We start from the raw sequence: 26,496 nt of genomic DNA, 5'->3' as shown, positions 1-26,496 counted from the left end.
CATGGAGCTTGTTACATTGTTGTGAAATTGCCTTTTTTTTTTTTTTTTTGAGATGGCGTCTCGCTCTGTCGCCCAGGCTAGAGTGCAATGGCGTGATCTTGGCTCACTGCAACCTCCGCCTCCCGGGTTCAAGCGATTCTCCTGCCTCAGCCTCCCGAGTAGCTGGGACTACAGGCACCCGCCACCACGCCCAGCTAATTTTTATACTTTTAATAGAGACAGGGTTTCACCATGTTGGCCAGGATGGTCTTGATCTCTTGACCTCGTGATCTGCCCGCCTCGGCCTCCCAAAGTGTTGGGATTATAGGCGTGAGCCACCGCGCCCGGCCCTTTTTTTTTTTTTTTTTTTTTTTTTTTTTTTAAGACAGGGTCTCACTCTTGCCTGTGCTAGAGAGCTTTACTTCTCAGGCTCAAGTGATCTTCCTACCTCAGCCTTCCCACACCCCACCCTGAGTAGCTGGGACTACTAGCATGCACCACTGCACCCGGCTAATTGTTTCATTTGATTTTTTTATAGAAACAGGTGTCACTATGCTGCTCGGGATGGTCTTAAACTCCTGGGCTCAAGCAATCCTCCCACCTCAGCCTTCCAAAGTGTTGAGATTGTAGGAATAAGCCACAGTGCCTGGCCTGAAATTGCACATTTGATTGATTTTATGAGGGCAGACACTGAGTCAATCTCATTCAATGCATCAGTACCAAGCACAGTAGGAATGCTACAAGTTTCATGAAACACTAATTCTGAATTATTCATTCTGCTTTCAAACTACTTGGTGAGAAATGAGTCTTTCAACAAGTCCTAGGGTTGCAGGATTAGAGGGAATTTTAAATAGTAGACCAGGCCTCTGGAGTTCATCTGCATGTGAGCTCATAGCTCTATCCTGTTGGAAGGAGTTAGACCTAGACCCTTAACGAGCCAGTTTCACATAAAGCCAGTGGACCCAGTGCAGGGTGTGGGGTGTGTACGGGAAAGCTTTATGCTAGTGTCTCTGTTCAGGGGGGTTTTGAGACGAATTGGGCAACTCTGAATTCTGTACAGGCCTTTCCTTCCACATATATTTTAATGCCTACTGATATCTGGCACTGGACCAGAAACATTTTTGCGTCTGCATTGCCAGAGATGCTGTTCACATGGTATTCTGCATTATGCTCTAGAAAGCACCATTCTCATTTGATATCATGTATATCCAGACAGCCCTGCCAGGGTCCCCATCCCTGCCTGCTATGTAAAATCAGTGAAAAGCATACCATTTTACATTTGTTTTGATGATTTAGCCCATTACATCTTTTTTTTTTTTTTTTGAGACGGATTCTGGCTCTGTCGCCCAGGCTGGAGTGTGGTGGCGCGATCTCCGTTCACTGCAAGCTCCGCCTCCTGGGTTCGCGCCATTCTCCTGCCTCAGCCTCCCGAGTACCTGGGACTACAGGTGCCCACCAACACGCCCAGCTAATCTTTTGTATTTTTAGTACAGACGGGGTTTCACCGTGTTAGCCAGGATGGTCTCAATCTCCTGACCTGGTAATCCACCCGCCTTGGCCTCCCAAAGTGCTGGGATTACAGGTGTGAGCCACCGCGCCCGGCCAGCCCATTACATCTTTTTAAGAAACCCTAATTTTGCTCTAAATTAAATTCAACAGACATCTTTAAGTGCCTACTCTGTTCCAGGCATGGTGTTACCAGTGGGACTGGTTACTGGATAAGCCCACTGACAACAGAAGCAGCACTCCCATGGTGGCCTGAGAATGGGCCCTAGCAGTGTTTGGTTTCTGAACTGGGCTCTCCCTCTTTGCAATTCTTTCTCTCCATCTTTTGCCATCATATTCAGAGTGCAGCCTGAGAACAAAGGTGAGATGGGACAAATTGGGAATAGTGTGAGAAGTGAGGTCATTTAATTAATTAATTAATTCATTCATTCCTCTGTTCAATAGTTATTGAGCACCTGCTATGTGTCACTATGCTGAATATTGGTAGTGTAAGGACTAGCAGACGTGGTCTTTGTCCTTAAGGAATTCACAGTCCAGTGCAGAAGGCAGACGGATGAAAAATTACAAGGTGTGAGTGATAGCTGCTAAGGCAGGGGAATGCAGAAGGGTTTTTTTTTCTTTTCTTTTTTTTTGAGATGGAATCCCGCTCTGTCACCCAGGCTGGAATGCAATGGCGTGATCTCGGCTCACTGCAACCTCTGCCTCCTGGGTTCAAGCGATTCTTGTGCCTCAGCCTCCTGAGTAGCTGGGACTACAGTTGCCCACCACTACGCCCAGCTAATTTTTGTATTTTTAGTAGAAACGGGGTTTCACCATGTTGGTCAGGCTGGTCTCGAACTCCTGACCTTGTGATCCGCCCTCCCTGGCCTCCCAAAGTGCTGGGATTACAGGTGTGAGCCACCGCATCTGGCTGTCAGTATCTAATTTCTTGAGAAACTATAAACTAGACAGAAGTGGTGTTTATCCTCCAATTTCTAACAACATGATTGTTACATGGTGAGCACTCAGTAGAGGGTCAACAAAGCCTGGATTCTACTCCTGGCTCTGTCTTTGAAGCTACCTGTCCTTGGACAGTCATTTCAGCTCTCCAGGCCTCAGTTACCTCACCTGTAAAGTATAACTGGTGATATTAGCTCTGCCTACCTCACTGGGACACTGTAAGGATTAATGGTCATGAGCGTGATTTTTAAATTGCAAAGACGTCTACAAAATAAATTACACAATCATAAGTTATATTCTTAAATATTTGTTGAATTTTAAAATAAAAGTTGTTCAGCACTTAGGTGAAATGCTGAACGACTTCACATAAGTGCTGCACGACCCTTTTCTTTAAAAAACAAAGAGAGAGACTTAAATAACCAGCAGGTATGCAACCTTCAGTTCACAAAGCGGGTCTAGCTTGACTTTTTCATCAGTCCAGAAAGATACTGCTGTTATCCCCATTTTATCAGTGAGAGCAGTGAGGTCCCAAAGAATGTGTGCAAGAACAGAAGCTCTTAGAAGCTCAGGAGGGCCCGGGCGCGGTGGCTCACGCCTGTAATCTCAGAGCTTTGGGAGGCCGAGGCGGGCGGATCACCTGAGGTCGGGAGGTCGGGAGTTCGAGACCAGCTGGGCAACATGGTGAAACCCTGTATCTACTAAAAATACAAAAATTAGCCGGGCGTGGTGGCGCATGCCTGTAATCCCAGCTACTTGGGAGGCTGAGGCAGGAGAATCGCTTGAACCCGGGAGGTGGAGGTTGCAGTGAGCTGAGATACGCGCCATTGCACCCAAGCCTGGGCAACAAGAGTGAAACTCCCTCTCAAAAAAAAAAAGCTCAGGCGTGGGCCACTTCCCAAGGTCTCTACATGTCAACAAGTTAGAAAGGACCAAGCCCCAGGCCTCTGGGGGCGCCTTTGCTCTGGAAACCCCGCCTCCCGGCACGGGAGGGGCCGGACGACGCTTCAATCCCGCCCCGTGACGCGTTAGGCCCTGCCCCCGGGCCATCTTCGTCTCGCGGGATCTCTCGGGAGGACGGACGGGGTCAGGTCCCATCATGGCGGCTGAAGAGGCGGATGTGGATATCGAAGGGGACGTGGTAGCGGCGGCGGGGGCACAGCCAGGGTGAGGCTTAGAGACCGGGTCTCTCTGGGGCGGAGAGGGGAGTGGATTGAAGGAGCGGGCCCTGGGAAAGCTGCAGGTCCGGCAAGGGAAAAGGGAACAGAAGACTGTCCCCTGGGCCAGGGTCTCTTGTTGGCCTGGGAGGCACCTCGCCCGCCGGCTTGTCCCAAGCCCAGCGGGCAGGGCGGTTACCTGGAGCTCAGGTACTCCTGGGTCGCTTTCACCTTTTGCCGGATGCTGTGAGGGCACCGATTTCGCCTACCACATTGCGTTTGATTTACATTTAGATTCCTTCTTCCGTTCCCTCCTTTTCAGGATCTCATCGACAGTAACTAGAACAAGAGCGGCTACGGACGAGACCTGAGGTCAGGGACTCTTGTTCTATGGCTTGCTAGCCGTGTGACCTTGGGCGAGTCGTTTCATCCCTTCTTCCACATGGGGATAGTTGTAAAACTTCCCGAGAAGCAGGTTGACTTAAATGGGCCAGGTTTTAGAGTTGGACAGTTCTGGGTTTTCCTTCTGCATTTGCTCGCCCTACCAGTTAATAGCAATGTGACCTTGGGCAAGACACTTAACTTGTCTGAGCCTCAGACTGCTCATATTTAAACTGGGAGTCATGATATGTAATTGGGAGGATCAAATGAAATGATTATGAGATATGCTTTAGCATACGGTAGGTGCCCTCTGAATGTATTCTTTACCATCCTGTTACCCTCGGGGACAGTACTGTGAGAATCCAGTAAGGGATCACATTTTTTAAAATACCTGTTCCAGCAGAACAAACAGCCCAGTGTGATTTGACACAGAACCTCCTTTGACTCCTTGCTTTCTGAATCAAAAATGAGTCTCCTTTTAGTCATGAAGAGTCCTAGACTAGCCAGGAATCAGAAAGCCTGAGTTCTAAAGTCAGCCAGCTATGTTGTTTATAATTATGTACAATTTCCTTAGAACTGTATTAGCTTGAACCATATGAAATTGCCAATATTTAGACCATTTTTGTTCTATAAAGCGGCAACTTCATGTAGTTCAGCCTAATATTAGGGCCTCTGTGAACAGGGGAGAAGTACTAACCCAGCGCTTGAGGCACTAAGATAGTGTGTTTAGAAGTGTATCATGAACTCTAAAGCCCTATAAAGACGTGAGGGGTGATTAAACTCATATGGTCATTGTCCCTCAAAGCTTTGCAGATGAGTAGGGAGCCCTTAATAACAATACTTGTTGACATTCATTTAGTGTTTAAATCTTGACCAAGTGCTTTTGCATGTTTGATTTAATTTACTTTTCGCAACAAGTTAATGAAATAGGTTGGCAGGGATACTTATCTGCAGTCTAGAAAGAAATGAGCTGGCCTTGGAAACACTGAAGATTGGTCACCTGAGGGCATTGGCTGTATGCTTCTTCCATAGATTTATCTTTCTGATTGTGTTTCATTTTTCCCCTTTTCTCTTTCTTCCTATTTTAGTTGAGGCCTAGGTCTACTGGTGGCACTTGTGGTAACAAGCAGGATTACAAAGGTTATTGGTTCCTGATGATGGTTACAATTATTGTCTTATACAACCCCAAGGAGTATCATTAATATTATATTCTGGGCCAGGCATGGTGGCTCACGCCTGTAATCCCAGCACTTTGGGAGACCGAGGCGGGCAGATCACGAGGTCAGGAGATCGAGACCATCCTGGCTAACACGGTGAAACCCCATCTCTACTAAAAATACAAAAAATTAGCTGGGCGTGGTGGTGGGCGCCTGTAGTCCCAGGTACTTGGGAGGCTGAGGCAGGAGAATGGCGTGAACCCGGGAGGCAGAGCTTGCAGTGAGCGGAGATCACGCCACCGCACTCCAGCCTGGGCAACAGAGCGAGACTCTGTCTCAAAAAAAAAAAAAAAATATATATATATATATATAGTCTGATAAATAGTGTCCAGTGGTGTTGGAGCTCCAACCGTATGGAATTTAGTGTGATGGTACTCTCTGAAGTATGTAGTTACAGTTGATATTATAGCATCTGTGAAACCGTTGAGAATTAATTTAATAGACACTTTTAAGCACTTGGTAAGTGCTAGATGTCAAAGTTAGAAGATGGTATTGAAACTTTTGGGTTGGCTGGGTGCGGTGGCTCATGCCTGTAATCCCAGCACTTTGGGAGGCCAAGGCGGGCGGATCACCTGAGGTTGGGAGTTCGAGATCAGCCTGACCAACATGGAGAAACCCCGTCTCTACTAAAAATACAAACTTAGCCAGGCATGGTGGCACCTGCCTGTAATTGCAGCTACTAGGGAGGCTGAGGCAGGAGAATTGCTTGACCCTGGGAGGTGAAGGTTGCAGTGAGCCGAGATCGCGCCATTGCCCTCTAGCCTGGGCAACAAGAGCAAAACGCCATCTCAAAAAAAAAAAAAAATTTTTTTTTGGTTTCTCTTCTACTTCTACCATTCTGTCTCATTCTCCTTTTCTTATGTTCTTTACTCCTAGTGTTGCAAGGAGTTTTCTCATTGGACTTTGATTCACTGACCACACTGTCCCTCTTAAGACTTCAACTTCTCTTTGTTAGGTTGAACCATATGAAATTTTACCAGTGTTAAACCATTTTTGACCTGCCAGCTGATGTTTCCCGAATCTGTTACCAACCCAGATCTCTCTCTTAAGTGACAGATCCATTTATCCAGTTCTCTGAATCTATCTGTACCTGGATGTCTCACAAGCACCTCAGTTTCACCTTATAAATTTTCCCCACCAGATCTCTTCACTGTACCCTAGTTTAGTAAATGGCACCTACACACACCCAGTCACCCAAAGCACAGACCTAAACTTCATCATTCCTTACCTCCCTCCTTCTACTCCTCTACCCTATCAGTTATTTAGGGCTGTTGATTCTGTCTAAATATCTTCTCAACTGTATTCACTTCTTCCTGTTCACATTGTCCTGTAGCTATAAGTTATTGTCACCTTTCTCTAGTATTTTTAAAATCTCTCCCTCTTAACTGCTCCTCGTCTCCTTGGCCCCATTCTGTTCTAGTCTGAAGTCAGAGTAATCTTTCTTATATCCAGATCTGATCATATTATTCTCTTCACTCCCCAGTTGGTTTTTTGATAAAATCCTCATTCTTTAACTACCAGAGATCTGAGTGATCCACGCCCTACCTACCTTGTTCATTTAGTCCAACAAATTTTTATTGAGTACCTTCTACATGCCATGCACTGATATACAACAGTGTATCAAAACCAAGTCTGTGCTCTCATAGAACATTCTTGTTAGATAACATAGACAGCAATCCTATATATATGTCAGATGGAGATGGGTGGAGAAAGATAAAGGAGGGGAGGTGAATGGTTTGTCAGCTTTATCTTTTACATTTATCCAGGAAAATTATATAAGATTGGAAACTACAGGACCTCAGAGGTAGTATGAAAATACTGGAAGGACTGGATTTGGAAAATGGGAGAAACAGCAGAATTAGGGCAGATTAAATGGGGGTTGTGAAGAAAATGGTCAGGCTTGGATTTCTGGCTTGGATAACTACGGAGATGGTGGTGCCACTGAGTGAGATGGTGAACAATAGAAGAGTAGCAGATTTGGGAGGAAAGGTGATTTCAAGCTTTAAACATGCTAATATGTGGTACCTATGGAGATTCAGGTAGAGATCCAGAAGTAGCTACCAGAGTATGAGTGTTGCTGATTCTTCTTATTGAGGAATAAAAAGATTTCTACAGTGAATTTGAAATGATAGTGGTTCTATTTTCTGAACTCTTGGCAGACCTAGTTACTTGAGCAAAGGTTTCTTTGAGCTGATAAAAGTCTCAGAATCCTTTATTTACCCTTCCTGGTAGCCTCTTCCAGATCATAGTTGACATTTAAGATTAAATCTATTTACCATCAACAGTTGAGAGAAATGATTGCTTTTAGAGAATAGTTCATTAGCCCCACAATTTATTATAACTACTGCCTAATTAAAGATTCAGATTTATAAGCCTGTTGAAAGGTTTTTGCAGTCTTAGAGATGGAAAATTCTTATCACTAGACAAGGTCTAGAAAAAGTCAATAACGAAGCAAAATATTAAATTTATATCATGGATTGAGCCCCCCAAAACTTACTCAGCCTTTTCAAATATGGGGTAAACAATGTAACTTTAAAGAGCTCTTAGGAGCTTAATGAAACGAGTGAGATAATTTAAAAAGTTTGATCTCCCATGGACATTGAAAAGCGTCCAAATCAAATTAATTTTTTAAATTATATGAGTTGTTATTAAAACCACATTTTTCTTATCTATTCACTGTACTGTCCTTCTTTGAGTATTTTCTGTTTTGGTTCTCTCATCTAGTTTTTTTTTTTTCTTTCATTTTATAGGTGGTGCTATTGATGGTGGTTTTTATAATTTAGATACAGCTAAAAGGTTTAATCACAAAGTTGAATTCCTGTATACACATGGGTACTGGTACTAATCAGCTGAAACTGCATTGTTGGTTCAAGTCACAGAGCATGTTGTGATTGCTGCTTTGGGGTATTGTTTTCCTCATGAGATTGTTTATTCTCGAGAACCAAAAGAAGTGAGCAGTCAGACTTGATGTTTCACAATTGAGATGGGGTAGCTTAGCACTACCACGTGTTTCACAGGCCAAAGAGGTAGAGCAGGCATTTCCACAATGTTAAATCTGTTTGTTAAGGGGAGAAGGGAACTAAGTATTTGCTTAGTTCCCTTACTACCTGCTGGATTCTGTGCTGTGTAAGTTACATTCATTAACTAATATGATTTTCACTTATATACTCATTTTCTTAATTATTACAGAAGTGGTGAAAATACAGCATCAGTTTTACAAAAAGATCACTATCTTGATTCATCTTGGAGAACAGAGAATGGCCTTATTGTAAGTATTTTATAAAAATATCAGGTGCATTAAGCTGTTATTTATTGCCTAGAGTGCTTCTTCTTTTTTTTTTTTTAAACTTAGTGCTAGTTCTCAACTATCACAGATATAATATTTTTCTTTTTTAGAAATTTAGAATTTTTTTTTACTTTAAAAATAGAAACCTCTTTCTTTTGACATTGAAAAATGGCCTGTTGAGAAACAGGTTTGGAGCCAGCTAGATTTAGGTACAGGTCTTTGCTCTACCACTTCTCAAATTTGTGAACTTCAGTTTCTTTACACCTAAAAAAGTGGTAGGTGGGCAAGGTGGCTCCTGCCTATAATCCCAGTGCTTTGAGAAGCCAAGGCAGGAGAATTCCTTGAGCCCAGGAGTTTGAGATTGCAGTGAGCTCTGATTGTGCCACTGCTCTCCAACCTGGGCAACAGAATGAGACCCGGTCTCAAAGAGAAAAAAAAAATGGGATTGTCACAGGGCTTATTTCTTCATGTAGTAGTTACTTTTTTTTTTTTTGAGATGCAGTCTCTTTGTCGCCAGGCTGAACTGCAGTTTCGTGATCTCGGCTCACTGCAACCTCTGCCTCCCACATTCAAGTGATTCTCCTGCCTCAGTCTCCCGAGTAGCTGGGACTACAGGCGTGTGCCACCCCGCCCAGCTAATTTTTGTATTTTTCATAGAGGCGGGGTTTCACCATGTTGGCCAAGCTGACCTTGATCTCTTGACCTCGTGATCCGCCCGCCTCAGCCTCCCAAAGTGGTGGGATTACAGGCGTGAGCCACCGCGCCCGGCCATGTAGTAGTTACTTATTGAGTACTTACTCGGTGCCAGTCAGTAGGTCAGGCTTGGAGAATACGACTACAATGAAGACAGACGTGTTCCTGCTCTCAAGAAGTTTATTTTCTAAGAGGGAGTTAAGTAATAAACAGGTAGACAAACTAATAATAGATTTTGAAGGAAATAAGCAAGATGCTGAATGAGAGTACCAGAGTGGGAAACCTAGTTTAGATTAAATTGTCAGTGAGGGAATCTCAGAGGAGGTGAGATTTAAGTTGAAAATGATGGGAAAAAGGGTAGATATGTGAACAGTTAAAATAAAATTATAGGCAGAAGGAACAGCAACTACAGAAGCTCTGGTTGAAGGCCAGTGTCTAGAATATGGTGGGAAAGGAAGGAGTGGCAGCATGTGGCAAGGTTGGAGAGGCAGGCTAGAGTTCTGTCATGCAGGACTTATGAGTCGGATTATGCTAAAGGGTTTACATTTTGTTTTAAAGGAACTGGGACATCATTGAAACATTTCATATAGATTTAATAGAGATTAGCAAATTTATTTTTATAAAATTAATTTTGGGTACTGTGGTAAAGATTGGAGGGAAGTAAGAGTGGAGTTAAAGGGACCAGTTAGGAAACATTCACGGTAATGGAAGCAAGATTTGATGATTGGGACTTGGCCTGAGGTAGTAGCAGAAGAGATAGAGTAGATAGATTTGAATTATATTTTGGAGGTAGAACTGGTTGATAGATTGGATATGGGCATCAAAGGAAAAGGAAAGAATCCACAATGATTCCTGAATTTCTACATGGAATAACTTAGTGAGTAATAGTGCCTTTCGTAGAGTTGGGAATGCAGAGGGAGAAGCAGGTGGAGATAAGTGATGGTGAGTTCTGTTTTAGATATGTTAAGTTCTAGAAGCCAATTAGATATCCAAGTAGAAATCTCGGATGGGCTGTTGGGTATTATGGCCTAGAGCTTGAAGAAGAGATATGAGCTGAAAATACTTAACTTGGAGCGTTGAAAATGAGTAGGATCATGGAGATTGTAACTGAGGAAAAAGGAGAGTTAGTGGTGAGTTTTGGAAAGAGGTTAAGTGTCTGACAGAGTGTCTGATGCCTAACAAATGATTCCTTTTTTGAATGGCGATTATTACCTCATCCTGGGCAGGAGCATGAGCCTGGGAATCCAACAGACTCAGGTGTAAAGTCTCTGCTCTTCCACTTAAAATGCTAGTAGTGCTGTGGTTGCTTCTGTAAAGTATTAATGCCTATCTCAATGTTACTGTGGTAATCAAAAATATGTCTGTGTGCTCAGTAAATGGTGACTGTCATTTATAATCATTATAACATGTATTTTTCTTTACCAAAACAGAAGATAATTTCAAAAAGCAATAAATAAAAAGACAAATATATTCTCTTTTTTAATAGCCTTGGACCTTGGATAACACCATCAGTGAAGAGAACAGAGCTGTTATTGAGAAAATGTTGTTGGAAGAAGAGTATCCTTTAATGATTATGAGGAAAGTACAGGTTTCAGGGTGAAAAAAATCTATAAATGCAAAATTTACAAGAGGCCACTGTTTACTAGATGGATTTTATACAGCACCAGACTGCTATTATATAATTTCATGTTACCTATGTATGCAAAAAGCAGCATTTTCTTCCTCAGGTTCTGTTTTACTGTAACATCTGAGATCTGATTGCATATTTTGAGTTTCTGTCACTAGCCAACTGTTTATGATATCTGAATATTGAGTAGAAATGATAGAATATTTAAGTCATTTTGAACCTTAAGTCCAAGCTTGCATTTTTAAGTTATATAAGCTGAAACCCAGAGATGTTAATTTTCCAAGGGCACAGAGTTGGAACATGTAAAAGTTCTTCTCACTTCATAATTTACAGGTGTTACGTGGGAGGAATCTAAATAAAAAGCACAAAACAAATACTATAGAATGAAGATGTTTTCCCTACATTTGTGGATCCTTATTTATAGCTCAGTTTTCGTACATGTAAAAGGAGAGGATTGAATGAAATGATTTCTGATTTTATGATTTATAAAGATAGCTAGTCATAGTCTAATAAGTAGTGGTTTATTAATCTCCTTCATCTTCATTTTATGGATTTCTCCTTACTAAGCCAGAATTTCTCTGTTCCCACTATTTCCACTTATTGCCATGTTGATTTTAGAGTGTCTCTGTACCTTTAATTATCATAGGTTAACCCCATTTAGGCTTTCTTATTCTCTAATTCTCCCCAGACATTGCAGTTATAGCCTAGATTATTGCTATTCAGAGAAAGTCACATATAATTTAAAATTTTCCGATATCCTCATTTAACACAAAGGAAATTAATTTTAACTATATATTATATAACCTAAAATATTTAAAATATTCTCATTTTAACATTTAATCAAGATAAAAACATTAATGAGATAATTTTACATTTTTGTACTAAGTCTTTGAAATCCACTGTGTTTTGTTTTGTTTGTTTTTTGAGACGGAATCTCGCCTTGTCACCCAGGCTGGAGTGCAATGGTGCGATCTTGGCTCACTGCAACCTCTGCCTCCCTGGTTCAAGCGATTCTCCTGCCTCAGCCTCCTGAGTAGCTGGGATTATGGGCGCACACCACCACACCTGGCTGATTTTTTGTATCTTTAGTAGAGATGGGGTTTCACCATGTTGGCCAGGCTGGTCTTGAACTCCTGACCTCGGGATCTACCTGCTTCGGCCTCCCAAAGTGCTGGGATTACAGGTGTGAGCCACTGCGCCCGGCCAAAATCCACTGTGTTTTATACTTAGAGTACATCCTAGTTCATGCAAATAGTGTTTCCACTGGTCAGAAACCAGCGATGCACATGTGGTTGGTGGCCACTGTCTAGATAAAACACTTAAGTAGTCAGTGGTTCACTTCTAGATATGGAAACAAATAATGAGAGTATCTTTGTTCTCAGCATCTATACCTAGCATAGTACCTGACATATGCAGTAGATAGCCAATAAATACTTGTTAAGTGAAGAATATCTCAGGCTAATCTTAAAGTACTTCATCAGGCTAGTTTTTTGTTTTTGTTTTTTTTTTTTGAGACGGAGTCTCGCTCTGTCGCCCAGGCTGGAGTGCAGTGGCTCAAACTTGGCTCACTGCAAGCTCCGCCTTCCAGGTTCACTCCATTCTCCTGCCTCAGCCTTCTGAGTAGCTGGGACTACAGGCGCCCGCCACCACGCCTGGCTAATTTTTTCTGTTTTTTAGTAGAGATGGGGTTTCACCGTGTTAGCCAGGATGGTCTCGATCTCCTAACCTTGTGATCCGCCTGCCTCGGCCTTCCAAAGTGCTGGGATTACAGGTGTGAGCCACCGCGCCTGGCCTCATCAGGCTAGTTCTAATAACTTTAAGAGGGAAGTTCTCTGGTAGATTTGATCTAAATGTTTGCAATTTTTATTAAGGTAGAGAAGATCCTTGGATTCTTCTCTGTTGGCTTTAGAAATGTGGAAAATTATTCCCGAATTGCCTTGGACAACCAACCAAGTTTACCTATTACATTCTCCATATGTTTTGGAAGAAAATATTTAAACCAGGGTGTCCAGTCTTTTGGCTTCCCTGGGCCACACTGGAAGAAGAATTTTCTTGGGCCCCACATAAAATACACTAATGATAGCTGATGAGCCAAAAAAAAAAAAAAAAATCACAAAATAATCTCATGGTGTTTTAAGAAAGTTTACGAATTTGTGTTGGGCCACATTTGAAGCCGTCCTGGGCCACATGTAGCCTGCAGGCAGAGGATTGGACAAGCTTGATTTAAACATGGAGGCTGTTTCTTGTAGTCACTTCTAATTGGGAAGACAAGGGAACTATTAATAACATTTATGTAGCACACGTTTTGTATAAGTAATGTAAAAATTACATGACTGTAATATTGTTTAAAAAGTTTCCTTGATAGTTACACAGATATTATTTATCTAAAAAATCACAACCGGAAAAAGTCTGGCTTGATCAAAAGGAAGATGATAAAAAATACATGAAGAGGTAAAATCAATTTATAATATTTCTAAAAGTCTGGATTGTAGTTTTAGAAACCTCACACGCTTCCTTATTTTCTTTTTTCATGTGATGCAGTCTGCAGAAAACAGCAAAAATCATGTATGTACTTATATTTTATATTTATAAATCTGTTTTCATTAGTTAAAAATTATGGAATAATTTTTTTTTAATTATAGTTGGCCTGTGGAAAAGCCCTCTTGACCTTAAAGTAGATATAAAAACAGTTTTTTTAATAAAGATGTTGGAGTGGCACAAGTATAATTTTATGGTGTTATTTACTTGCCAGAATTTCTTTCATGGCCCTATGTAGGCAATTCTTTCAGATTGTGAAAAATATGGTTGTCCAGGGGTTTATGGGGAAATTTTGAGAAGCTGTTATGTGATATATTGGAATTGACTTGATTTCTTTTACTCTGTCAGTTAATTTTCACTTATTTTCAACAAAATTTTCATTTGGATTTGTGGCTTTCAAAAATTATCTGGAGAAATTAACTATTTTAAAAATATCCTTTCCCTATAATTGAAAAAACATTATTTAGCATTTATGACTTTGGAAGTTTATGGTCCTTTAAAGGGTGGTTTACGTATTTGCAATTGCCCAAGAGGTTGAGTACTGAGCAGCCTTTTGCTTTTGTATTTTGCTGAATAAACAATGAAATGAAGTTAACAAAAGGATTAATGGGTTGCTTAAATTAGTGAGCTTCATCAGTTTTATTTTTAATTCCTTGAGATAATGAATTTTAAAAGCAATAAATACAATGCTGTAGTTTTTGACTTCTTTTCTAAATATTTACATGGATTTACATGAAAGAACTAAAGAGATAGTATTTGTGGAACCAATTTAAACTCTTACATGCCTTTCAGGATTTGGGAATGTATTAACACCTGCTGCTTTGTATCCAGTCTAAGGGAGCCTATTTGTTTGTTATCACATTGACTTCCTTTGATGTCTTTTAGTGTTACCCTCACTCAGACCCAAGGATTATGTCTTTTGGGGCTCCCATCATCCTGAGCTAGAGACACGTGACAGGGTAAATCTCTGCCCCCAGGTAGAGGCTGTAGCCTTCTTGTTTTGTTTGTTTGTTTATTTTTAATTCCTAGACTCAAAGTATTGAATTTAGCCCATGGCTATCTATAACCTTTAGTTACATAAATATGGAATGTTCCATTTCAGAAATTTTTTTTGCAATTCCTTTTTTTCCCCTCAGGGTACACTCTCCTACAAAACCAGCCAGTTACTCAGTAAAGTGGACGATAGAAGAAAAAGAGCTGTTTGAACAAGGGCTGGTAAATAGAGCAATTTTAAATTTTTAGTAAAATAATTCTAGAAGCAAATATTGGTAAAGTTATAAGGTTAAATTAATTTATAGAGACCTGAATTTTCTTTTTAATTACAGTTTTAACACCTTTAGTTCTTCTGTAGTTAGAGTAATGATGTTTATAGTGTAGTGCAAGAGAATTCCTTTTAACTTAGATCTAAGGTACTAAAATACTAAAATAGATTTAGATCTGTAGTTTTCACGTTCTTGTGGTATTATCAAAATCCAAGAAATTGAGGTATATCTGTATACATGACACCAACTACCTGGATTAAAAGGCAAAATTATTTAGTAATCTCTTTTTTTTTTTGAAATAAAATAAAAACTTGTATATTTGAAACTGTTGGGGTGATCAGCTGAGTTTTTATTCAGATAATTTGGCATTGTATACACTGTCTAAATATTTCAGCGACTCTAAATGAAGACCAGAAACATTTTTTTTTTGCGTGAATGTCTATTACACTGAAATCTATTTAAATGTTCACAAGTTGCATAATGGAAAAGATACGTATTCTGGTTTCTAATTCTGAAAATACCCCTTAATATGAAGAAACTTTAAAAAAAAATACTTAGGATTTTTTTTTAATTTTTTTACTATCAAGATTAGTTTATATCTTTTCCTTTAAGGTGCATGATACCTAGTAATGTTCTAAGTAATTTTGAAATTATGTATATTTATACATTACATATATAGAATATTTGTATATATAAAATTTATGTATGCTAATTGAAGTATCATTAACATTTCTACAGATGATGAGAATAAAATGTTTGTGTTTGTATTTTAGTCAACACCATGAGATCTGTATACTGTATGATATTCTTATATAAATATATAAATGATCTTGAGGTTTTTATCTCTTCAAGACTTGTTCCTATACTGGTGATTTTTTTTTTATATTGATATTTCAGTGTGTTGTATGATTATCATTTATATGATCTAACTTTAATTAATCATTTATTTAAGATTCCTAACAACTTTGGTGTTTTGCCCCTTATCAAAGACCAGATACATAATGTTAGGTCTTAAAGAGGAGGTGAGGGTTAAAGAAAGACACACACACACACGCAGAAGGAGGGCAGCTCAGCAGCAAATGCAGGCTTTATGTCCAGCATAAAACCTACAGAAGTGGGAGACCAACCTAATGCCAGAGCCCGCTGCTGCTTATAGCCTGGGGCAATTTATAGGTATCGGCAGAAGAGGTCTGGGCAGTATGGCTTGCTGCCCAGCAGGACATTGATAAGATGTTCCCATGATGAGGCAGTTCTGGCCCTTGTTCCGGCGGGATGTCGTTGTGGTGTTCAGGTGTTTTTTGGACCTTTGTCAAGCAAGATAGGATAGGGATATTTCTTTAGTTGGGCCTTTGTTTGTCTTGTAGTCAGGTGGTTAGGCAGGATACTTCTCATGGCCTGAACCCCTGTGAAATGTTTCACTTCGACAAAGGTCTGCAAAATAGCAGGGAGCTTACAACATGGTGCAGTTTGTACTAACATATATGCTTACATCTGCAAATAGATTGAATTTAAGGTTCATTTTTGGGTTGTTATTTTTTATGTTGGTGGTACTTATGGGGACTACATTTGCATGGTTTAAAATTCAAAAGGTTCCTAAAGTTATAGGGTATTAAGTCTTCTCACTCTCATCTTAGCCTTCAGTTCGCTTCGCCCGGGGTAACCAGTGTCTTCTTTGTGTTTTCTTCCAGAGATATTTGTCCATATATAAGTAAATATGTATTTATTTATATAGAGATATGTAGACCTCTGTCTATTTACATTAAGGGAGATTTTAAACTTGGAATGTTTTCCTACACAACAAGCATGGAATTATTAGTTGTATTTTCAGCTTTTTTTTAAACCATTGATAAAGTTTGCTTACAGACTGAATTCTCTCAGGCTTGGGAGTAGGGACTTGGGTGGTACTGATTGATGAAGAAAGGCTTTTTTCCTTCCCTTTTTTGGGCATGGGACTCTCCCTTTGCTCTATTTTGAAACTGGTGAATATTTTCTTTGCTCCTTTTTTTATCTTCTTTTTTTTTTTTTAAGAAACAAGGTCTCGTTATGCTGCCCAGGCTTTGAACTCCTGAGTTCAGGTGATCCCCTTGCCTCAGTCTCCTGAGTAGCTAGGACCACATACATGTGCCACTGTGCCTGGCTTCTTTGCTCCTCTTGTTCGTGTTCTTTCCCCAATTTTTCTAGTGCCCAAGTCCCTACTCTTCTACTAATCATATCTTAATCCAGATCTGTCCTGTCTCCACAAATGCTCCATGCTACCTACCAATGTTATCTATTTGTCTTCATCCCACAATAAAGATAAGTAGTTTTTCATCAAGTTGATCTCAGCTAGGTGTTAAGAGCAATCTTAAATAATTAATTTATATTTACTAATAATTTTCAGAAGCACTTTGAGTTTAAGAAATTGTCCATATGTCATATTTTCTAATGAGTATCAGAAATTTACTTAAATTAAGGTTTATCACTTGGGTGAGATCTTTGAAAATGATTTGCTACCGTAAGGCATGACTGCCTGGCCTGTAAATCTGACAAAACTTTTCCTAAGTTGTGGCTAGTTTTTTGTTTTTTTCATAGTTTTAAGAATTCTAAAAATATAGAATTATTTAGCTACCTTAGGAAGTAGAGAATATCTTATGTTGGGGATATTGCAGAGAGGATTTACGTATTAAATTATAGTTAGACTTGATACCTAACAGTCCCTTTTAGCTGTCAAATTATGTGTTCCTTTCTGTGCTTGAGAACACACAGGAGCTCCCTCAAGTTGTCATTTTTTTTTTTCCCTCCACAGCTTCAGTGTTATGACGTGCACAGCCTTTGACACCTGGATGTGGGAGGTGTCAGAAGGCATTAGTTGGAGGGTAGGCAACATAGTGAGACCCCATCTCTACAAAAAATAAAAAATTAGCCCGGCAAAGTGGTGCGTACCTGTAGTCCCAGCTACTGGGAAGGCTGAGGTGGGAGGATTGCTTAAGCCTAGGAGGTTGAGGCTGCATGAGCCGTGATCACACCACTGTACTCAGCCTGGGTAACAGAGTGAGACCCTGTCTCAAAAATGAAATAAAAACTGACAACGACATTAACAGGAGAAAACCAGAGTTTGTTGATGTGTGCAGCATATACATATGCAAGAGAAACTCTGATGAGTAATGAAACGGGTAGTTAGAACTTGGGGCTTATAACATCTTAACAAAGAAGACATTTGTTGCAGGACTTCCTCATTTGTGATTTAATCGATTTAGTCTTTTAGGTCAGTTCACTGTGATATCTGATAGAGTAAAAGTCTCTGCTGTGAGATACATAATGGATATTGCAAAATAGGGAATCTGAGTTAAAAAAAGTGTTGAAATTAGCACAGAACATGTTCAGTTGATCGTATAAATGGAAAATGTAACCTGTACCCCTTTCAGGCACTTATTTATTTTAAAAAGTTATTTTAGATATGGAACATTATAACTTACAATATGAATTCATTCAGTTAGGCAATATCTTCATTTAGATAGCTATTCTTTTTAAAAAGGAGTTTCTAAATCATTTCCATCAGTTTTCAGTAGTTCAGATTCCAAAAGAATGAATGTAGGCTTTGATTTTAAGAGCATAGTCTATATAGAAGACTTTATTGTGTGCTTCAGAAAATAAAGATGTATTTTTTTTTAAGTTTTTTTTTTTTTAATGTGGTAGTGGCTTGGACTATTCTTAAGTAAATTCATCAAAAGCAATTTTTTTTCCCATTTTAATAATACAGGCTAAATTTGGCCGAAGATGGACCAAAATTTCAAAGCTAATTGGAAGCCGCACTGTTTTACAAGTGAAGAGTTATGCAAGACAGTATTTTAAAAATAAGGTAAGCAGAATATCAGTATCCTGGTTAATAATGATAATATTTAGAAAAAACTAAGCAGAAGTATTTCTTTAATTCAGGCATTAAAGTCTTACTGGTAAAAGTTTTTAAAGTATTTTATACCCACATAGTACTATACAAAACCTCAGAGGATATCTTCAGTGTTTTGAGTATTGCCATTAAATAGGTATCATGTTACTCTATTTAATTTTATAAAGTTAAATGGACAAAATAGTAATTGCTCAAAAATATACTATAAAGCAAATTGTATTTCAAAGAGAAAACCTTAGAGATCTTATCTTATTGTTTCCTCTAGAAAATAACTTTTCCTTTTAAAATATTTGTGTTGTAGAAACTTTTAAGAATTATTAGAGCTTACAGGAGGTAAATGCTATCCTGACTCTGAAATCTGTTAAATAGCTATGAAATTTTTACAATTGTTATGAAAAATTGTCTGAAACTTTAATAAACTGCAGTGTTAAGAAAGGTTTAATTGTGATCTGGTTTCTTAATCTTTCAAGTAATTTGTGCTATATGCAACCATGTCGTTTTGATATTTAGAATTTTTTTTTTTTCTTTTTTTTTTTTTTTGAGACAGAGTCTTGCTCTGTCGCCCAGGCTGGAGTGCAGTGGTGCGATCTCGGCTCACTGCAAGCTCGGCCTCCCAGGTTCACGCCATTCTCCTGCCTCAGCCTCCTGAGTAGCTGGGACTACAGGTGCCCGCCACCACACCTGGCCAATTTTTTGTATTTTTAGTAGAGACGGGGTTTCACCGTGTCAGCCAGGATGGTCTGGATCTCCTGACCTCGTGATCCACCCGCCTCGGCCTCCCAAAGTGCTGGGATTACAGGCGTGAGCCACCGTGCCCGGCCTAGAATTTTTTAATATATCCTCTTTGAAGCCTAGGAACATAATTATATAAAATTGGTAAGTGTCTTGAGTGAAATTTGATATTATCTCTTCATGTAGATAATGAGTTCTACCCTGTAGGTAAGATTTGTTTCGGTGTTGTCTAGACATAGGTGGTAACTAATGGAATGGATTCATCATACATCGATTGTATGCTCCATCTTTCAACCAAACAGAAGCATTTTCAAGGCAGCTCACCAGGGTTTAGTTAATACCTCAGAACAGAATAAAGCTTAACTTGGTTATTCTTACTCTTAGGCTTCCAAGATACATGCTATGTATCTTGGAGTGCCAGTTTTACTCAAAGACCTGGGGTAGAAGGATACATTTTTCATATTGTAACAGAGACTAGTATATTATGAAATCAATGCAAAATTTCATCTGAATTTTTAAAATTATAGACAGGATACTTAAAATAAATAGCAGGGATGTTAAAAGCTGTTTCAGGCAATATGTCCAAATCTCTTTCCCTCCTGCTACCCTTTTATTCTCTACATAGTAAGCCAGTTAACCTCAAATATTTAATCCTGGAATTCTGTGTGATACAGGATCTATAAATAACCTGTTTCTGAGAGCTGTCATATCTCTTATGTATGTTAGTCATTTATAAGACTTTTTAAAAACTTCGTAGGTAAGGATTTTATTTCATGTTATATTTGCTCATTCACTTTCATTATCTTTTTTTGTTGTTGTTACATTACCAGATATTTATGTCTGTAGTAGCAGGTATGGGAGATACTTTTATGGCTTAATATAATCTCTCTTTTTTTCTCAAGTATCACATTAAAATATAATCTCTATAATATAAGCTCATTAAATAAGCCTGCAAAAGACAGTTTGTTTTCTGTTGTCCCTTATTTAAATGAAAGGTAGTTTTAATGTACTCAGTGAAGATGTCAGATAGATTAAGGATTATTTTAGCATTATAAGAAATAATCAGCTACAGTATCACATAGTCTGAGAAGCCTTTAAAAATATTTCAATATATTGTACGATACCTTAGTATGATAGTTGTTGGTTTATTCCATACAGTTGATCTGAGCCAGGCTGCTGTTTTCAACTTAATATTGAAAAATAAGTAGTAAATATAGGTCATGATTATTTGATTAATAAAAATCACCAGACCCATGAATTAGTTATATATTTATAGAAATTTTAAATGGTGATCCTTTACATTTGAAATGCAGTTGTAGTCTATGGTCCTACCACCATGAACGTGCCCAATCTTGTCTAAAATGCAGTTATTATAAACCCTTTAAAGAAAAACACATTGCCTGTAATCCCAGCACTTTGGGAGGCCGAGGCAGGTGCATCACAAGGTCAGGAGATCGAGACCATCCTGGCTAACATGGTGAAACCCCATCTCTACTAAAAATACAAAAAATTAGCCGGGCACGGTGGCAGGCGCCTGTAGTCCCAGCTATTCGGGAGGCTGAGGCAGGAGAATGGCATGAACCCGGGAGCTGGAGCTTGCAGTGGCCTGGGATTGCGCCACTGCACTCCAGCCTGGGTGACAGAGCGAGACTCCGTCTCAAAAAAAAAAAAAAGAAAAGAAAAAAAAGAAAAGCGCATTAGAGGTATAATGTACCATTTACATGTATTCAGTTTAATAACACTGTATATTTATCCTTTTTTGTGTGTACCAGTGATTAAATTTTTAAATCTTAATATTATGGGGATTTTATTTTGATTTTTAATAAGGTCAAATGCGGTCTGGATAAAGAAACACCAAATCAGAAGACCGGCCATAATCTTCAAGTTAAAAATGAAGATAAAGGGACAAAGGCATGGACACCATCATGTTTAAGGGGACGTGCTGATCCCAACTTGAATGCTGTAAAAATTGAAAAGTTATCTGATGATGAAGAAGTAGACATCACAGATGAGGTGGACGAGTTGTCTTCTCAAACACCCCAGAAGAATTCTAGCAGTGATCTCTTGTTAGACTTTCCTAATAGTAAAATGCATGAAACCAATCAAGGAGAATTCATTACTTCTGACAGCCAGGAAGCTCTCTTTTCTAAGTCTTCCAGGGGCTGTCTTCAAAATGAAAAGCAAGATGAAACACTTTCAAGCTCAGAAATTACACTGTGGACTGAGAAACAGAGCAATGGTGACAAAAAATCAATTGAATTAAATGACCAGAAATTTAATGAATTGATTAAAAACTGCAACAAGCATGATGGAAGGGGAATAATAGTTGATGCCAGGCAGTTGCCTTCTCCAGAGCCTTGTGAAATTCAGAAAAATTTGAATGATAATGAAATGCTTTTTCATTCTTGCCAAATGGTAGAGGAAAGCCATGAGGAAGAAGAGCTTAAGCCACCAGAACAGGAAATAGAAATAGATAGAAATATCATTCAAGAAGAAGAAAAACAAGCAATTCCTGAGTTTTTTGAGGGGCGCCAAGCTAAAACACCAGAACGCTATTTGAAAATTAGAAATTATATTTTGGATCAATGGTAAGAAAGAATTACATTATAGATGTTGTTTTAAAACGTGATATTCTGAAGTATTTTAATTAGGCCTATACAGAATTTAGAATTTTGCTAGTAAATCTAGAGATCACTACAGTAGGGAAGATTTAAGATTTCTTGTAATGAAAAAAAGCTTTGGTAAACATTATCACCTATAACTCTCATAACCCATCTTTTTGCCTATTCATTAGATTGTGGGCCTGGAATAAAAGGGATAGACGATTGCTTTATGAAGCAGTCTCCTAGGACAGCGTTAGGAAGATATAGAGAGAACACCACTGCACGGGAAAAGGGAAATAATTCTTTCCGGTTTATCATGTACTTTGAGTACAAAGATAGAAAAATTTGATGACAGCAGTAGTATTAAATGTGGCCAGATTGCAGAAACACTTCTAAATAGTGATCTTAAATGCTTTTAACTTTGAACTTGTGACAATAATGTGCTATTAATTTCTTCATCCAGTTTTATCAGGATACAGTTTTCTGATAGATGAAGCTTATTCTCTAGATTGTCAGTACCGTTTATTTGAATTATTTAATGAAGCTTAGGGAACAAACCCCAAAATTTCCCACCTTACTAGCCTAATTTGAATTTTTTAAAACAGCTTAATTAAACCATCATTAAACATTTATAATTGCTGGCTGGGCACAGTGGCTCATGCCTGTAATCCCAGCACTTTGGGAGGCTGAGGCAGGCAGATCATTTGAGGTCAGGAGTTTGAGACCAGCCTGGCCCACGTGGTGAAACCCTGTCCCTTCTAAAAATAACTATATATATATATTAGCTGGGCATTGTGGCAGGTGTCTGTAATCCCAGCTACTCAGGATGCTGAGGCAGGAGAATCTCTTGAACCTGGGAGGCAGAGGTTGCAGTGAGCCGAGATCGTGCCACTGCACTCCAGCCTGGGCGACAGAGCGAGACTTCATCTCAAAAAAAAAAAAAAATTATTTTTAAAAATCATAATTGCTAATTCTGTTTCAGAAGCTATCAAATTGTATAGGGCCATCTTTACAGAGAGCTTCCTAGTTCCTTGAGCAGGGGTTCTGCTTTGTCCTTTGTTCTCTTTTGTATGGAAAGCCTTCCTGTCCTATTGCTATTGTTAACTTCCTGCTGTAACCTAGAAGGGTTACCAAAGGAAAACAACTTGCTATAATAAATCGGTAACCTTCATTTTACCCACACAATATAAGTCTTTGGTTTTTAAAGATGGCTGTATTCTTAAAGGAGGAGGTTTGTTCTTGAGTTATCTTACAGATGGTGGAGGTGCTGAAAGTACAACATGTGGGTTAGGTTGGCATCATAGTAAAGAATACTTGCAAGGAACAACTCCTGACTTTACATAGTGCTTTATAGTTGTTAAAGAGCTTTGCTACATCATCTTACTTGATTTTTTAAAACAATCCTGTAAAATAATGCAGATGGTATTATGTTTATTTGATAAAGAATGATTCTGAGATCAGGAGAGGTTTAGGGACCTGCCTTGGATTATACAACCAGTCACTGACACATGAAGGACTTCAGTCTTCATGTGTCTGTAAATCACTCTTTTATTCTACATGGCCTAATTCACACTAATGACAAAGACTAGTTAAATTAGATTTCTATTGGTATCTACTTTTGTTTTTGGAAATAAGAGGGTGAATGGCCAAAATTTAAGGACCTTGAAATCATAACTAACTCAAAAATGTCCATATTGGTCAGGAGTAGTGGCTCACAACCTTTTTTTTTTTTTTTTTTTTTTTGAGACAGAGTCTCACTCTTTCTCCCAGGCTGGAGTGCCTTGGCATGATCTCAGCTCACTGCAACCTCTGTCTCCCAGGTTCAAGTGATTCTTCTGCCTCAGCTCCCATGCAGCTGGGACTACAGGTGCGTGCCACCACGCCCGGCTAATTTTTGTATTTTTAGTAGAGACTGGGTTTCACCACATTGGCCAGGCTGGTCTAGAACTCCTGACCTCAGGTAATCCACTCACCTCGGCCACCCAAAGTTCTGGGATTACAGGTGTGAGCCACCACGCCCGGCTGACTCACAATTTTCATCCCCGTGCTTTTGGAGGCTGAGACAAGAGGATTACTTGAGGCCAGGAGTTCGAGACTAGTTTGGGCAACATAGCAAGACCCTGTCCCTACAAAAAATTTTTTTAAAACTTAGGCGCGGTGTTGTGTGCCTGTAGTTGTAGCTACTCAGGAGACTGAAGCAGGAGAATCACTTGAGCCCAGGAGTTTGAAGCTGCAGTGAGGTGGGATCATGCCACTGTACACTAGCCTGGGCAACAGAGCAAGATCCTGTCTCTTAAAAATGTCCATATGAATGATCACTATATTCTTGTTACTTTAATCAAATTCTATATTTGTTACTTTGAATTTTGAATTCCAAATGAGGCAGATTAATTTATATAGGTACTATAAATTACATGGCAATAGTTTCCTAAGTCATTTGCCTTGGTTCATGAAACTGGTTAGGTATTGCTATTTCATTATGGTGATTTAGCAGAACATTGTGAAAGCAAAAATTGTTTTGAACAGGAACTCACATTTGTTCAGAAATAGAAGAGAGTGAGTGGTTAGGCACTGGAGGTGGTGTTAAAAAAAAATAGAAGAGTTAAAGTTTTGAAATAAAAAGAAGCCTGCCAGATTTGTTTATAGATAAAGATTCTTTTCATAAAAGCAGATGCAGTTGATTCCCTGGTTAGGGGAATATTTTTATTAAAATAGTAACCAGTACCATTACTGAATGCCTCCCGAATACCATGTACTGTACTTAAATCATCTCCAATCCTTTTGACAACCTCGTTCTCACTTTATAGATAAGAAAAATGAGGTTCACAGAGGATAAAAAACTTTTCCAGGTCACACTAGGTAAAGGAGATATTGGAGTCTGCAGTCTTGACTCATTATTTTCACACTTCCAACTCATGGCCTTGACCCTGACTTTTCACTCTGCTTTGGATGTTCTTCCCCCATATTTTGTCAAGTGTTGCTTTCTTGTCTCATTGAAATCTGGTCGAGGGAAATTAGAGGCTTATCTAAAATATCTCACATATCTCCTCCCTTTCATTCTCTTGCCCTGTATTTTATTTTCTTTATAGAACTTATTACTACCACAAATAATTACATTTTTATTTGTTTACTGTCTCTTCTCCCCTCAACCCCCATGATAATGCAGGCAACATGAGGGCAGATTTTTATCTGTTTTGTTTGTTGTTGAATCTAGTTCTTAAACAATGCTCAGAATATAGAAGGTACTCTTATTTGTTAGGGGGAAAAGATCGAACATGAATCATTATTCCATGAACATATTTTTAGAGTCCTTACCATTTGTTCAGCACTGTGCTAGATTACTGAGTTCTGTTTAAAGCCTTTTACTTTGAGTAGTCTTCAGTTAGCTCAGTCTAGTTTTTTCAGACTCCTTTGGTTTCTTGGTAGCCATACTCTTGCCTGCTTTATTGCTTTCATTTGTACAATTTTGTTTCATTTTCTTGCAAGACACACTGAAATCTCAACGTTTCTATGGAAGGTGTGGTACCCTCCCACATCACAAATTATTTTTACCCTCTATTCTGCTTAGTGAGGCCTAGCCTAAGCACCCTATCTATCTAAAGTAGTCTATGCCTGTTTGTCCCACTCTATCCCCTTGACCTTCTTACTTAGCACTATTGCTACCTGAAAGTGTAATATATATGGTTCATTGATTATTGACAGTCCCTCCCATTAGAATGTAAGATCTGTAAGGTTAGAAATTTTACATTATCTGTGTATCTCTAGTGCTTAGAACAATATATTCATGGAATAAAATAATGATCGAATGAGAAATACCCATGTTATATGAGATATCTGAATACCTAAATTTATAATATCTATACTTGAATCCTGATTATGTCCCTTCCTTAAGTAAGTGCTTTACTCTGACCCCCTTGCTTCCTCATTTCCAAAATGAGAATAATATTAATAAAATCTACCTTGTATAGTTGTAAAGATTAAGGATGTGTAACTCAGCACAATAATCTGGCTTAAGCATTCAGTAATTAGTTTCTACTAAGTTCTTTATTACTCGAATTTTATGTTGTACCATCTAGCAAGGTACATTAAGTATATTCAATAAATACGTGTTTTATTATATAAACCTCTTATTTCTTTCATAATCTTTGGGAGTTTCTTGATTTCCCCTTTGGAATCCCTTATAACGTCTGTTTCTGTTTTCCACTGAGAGTAAGCACTTAATATTTGTTGTCATCATAATTAAAAACAAATATAAAATGTTTAAGCATTTGTAAGATAGCTGATAATTGAAAGACACTGTTAAGCAAAATAAGAGTAGATGAATCTAAGTAATATATTACAAATTGGAAACGTCTAATACTAAATCTTTTCTATATATTATCAAACTGCTCTTTGTATTTAAAGATTCAATTTGTGTCTGTACATAAATTTCTGAATTCAAGGTCCTGGGATAACTGGAATCTATGAATTTAACATTGGGGAAGAAATATTGCTTGTAAAAAATTATGCTAATAAGTTATTGTATCATTTAAGGATATTTTATTTCAGAAAAAAAGTACATGGGTATTATGTATTAGTATTGTATTTATTACACATTTATACATTGAAAGGGGTTAAAATTTAGAGATATTTCAAATATTGAAAGTTTTCCCCAGAAATCTTTTTTCACGTTTTTATTTATCCAAAATAATTG

At 38.7% G+C, this 26,496-nt stretch overlaps 1 protein-coding gene across 9 annotated transcripts in view, besides 2 other annotated features; it reads left to right on the top strand.

Moving 5' to 3' along the window:
• Window positions 3,337-3,746: an enhancer, noted in NCBI's record as "active region_1087". NCBI's record gives its function as "activates an Ori minimal core promoter by ATAC-STARR-seq in GM12878 lymphoblastoid cells {active_cell/tissue: GM12878}" and the evidence as "EXISTENCE:reporter gene assay evidence [ECO:0000049][PMID:35858748]".
• Window positions 3,511-26,496, top strand: part of MYSM1 (Myb like, SWIRM and MPN domains 1) — a 45,320-nt gene continuing 22,334 nt past the window's right edge. For 4 of the 9 annotated variants that reach the window (XR_946533.3, XM_006710314.4, NM_001085487.3 and 1 more), the window contains exons 1-8: window positions 3,511-3,588; window positions 8,366-8,444; window positions 10,642-10,712; window positions 13,156-13,233; window positions 13,324-13,347; window positions 14,457-14,535; window positions 18,322-18,420; window positions 21,028-21,788. Coding sequence is in view for 8 of the 9 variants with exons in the window: in XM_006710314.4 (XP_006710377.1) it covers window positions 3,521-3,588; window positions 8,366-8,444; window positions 10,642-10,712; window positions 13,156-13,233; window positions 13,324-13,347; window positions 14,457-14,535; window positions 18,322-18,420; window positions 21,028-21,788 (1,259 nt within the window). In the remaining variant the exon portion in view is untranslated. Of the gene's footprint in view, window positions 3,589-3,900; window positions 3,951-8,365; window positions 8,445-10,641; window positions 10,713-13,155; window positions 13,234-13,323; window positions 13,348-14,205; window positions 14,536-18,321; window positions 18,421-21,027; window positions 21,789-26,496 lie in introns of those variants that run through there. The other 5 variants (XM_011540573.4, XM_047443717.1, XM_011540574.3 and 2 more) reach the window with 5 other exon arrangements.
• Window positions 3,957-4,016: an enhancer, noted in NCBI's record as "active region_1086". NCBI's record gives its function as "activates an Ori minimal core promoter by ATAC-STARR-seq in GM12878 lymphoblastoid cells {active_cell/tissue: GM12878}" and the evidence as "EXISTENCE:reporter gene assay evidence [ECO:0000049][PMID:35858748]".

This window comes from Homo sapiens, chromosome 1, assembly GCF_000001405.40.
Source record: "Homo sapiens chromosome 1, GRCh38.p14 Primary Assembly".
NCBI classification, from domain to species: Eukaryota; Metazoa; Chordata; class Mammalia; order Primates; family Hominidae; genus Homo; species Homo sapiens.
Note: the sequence above shows the minus strand (reverse complement) of the source record. Positions and strands in the feature narration are given on the sequence as shown.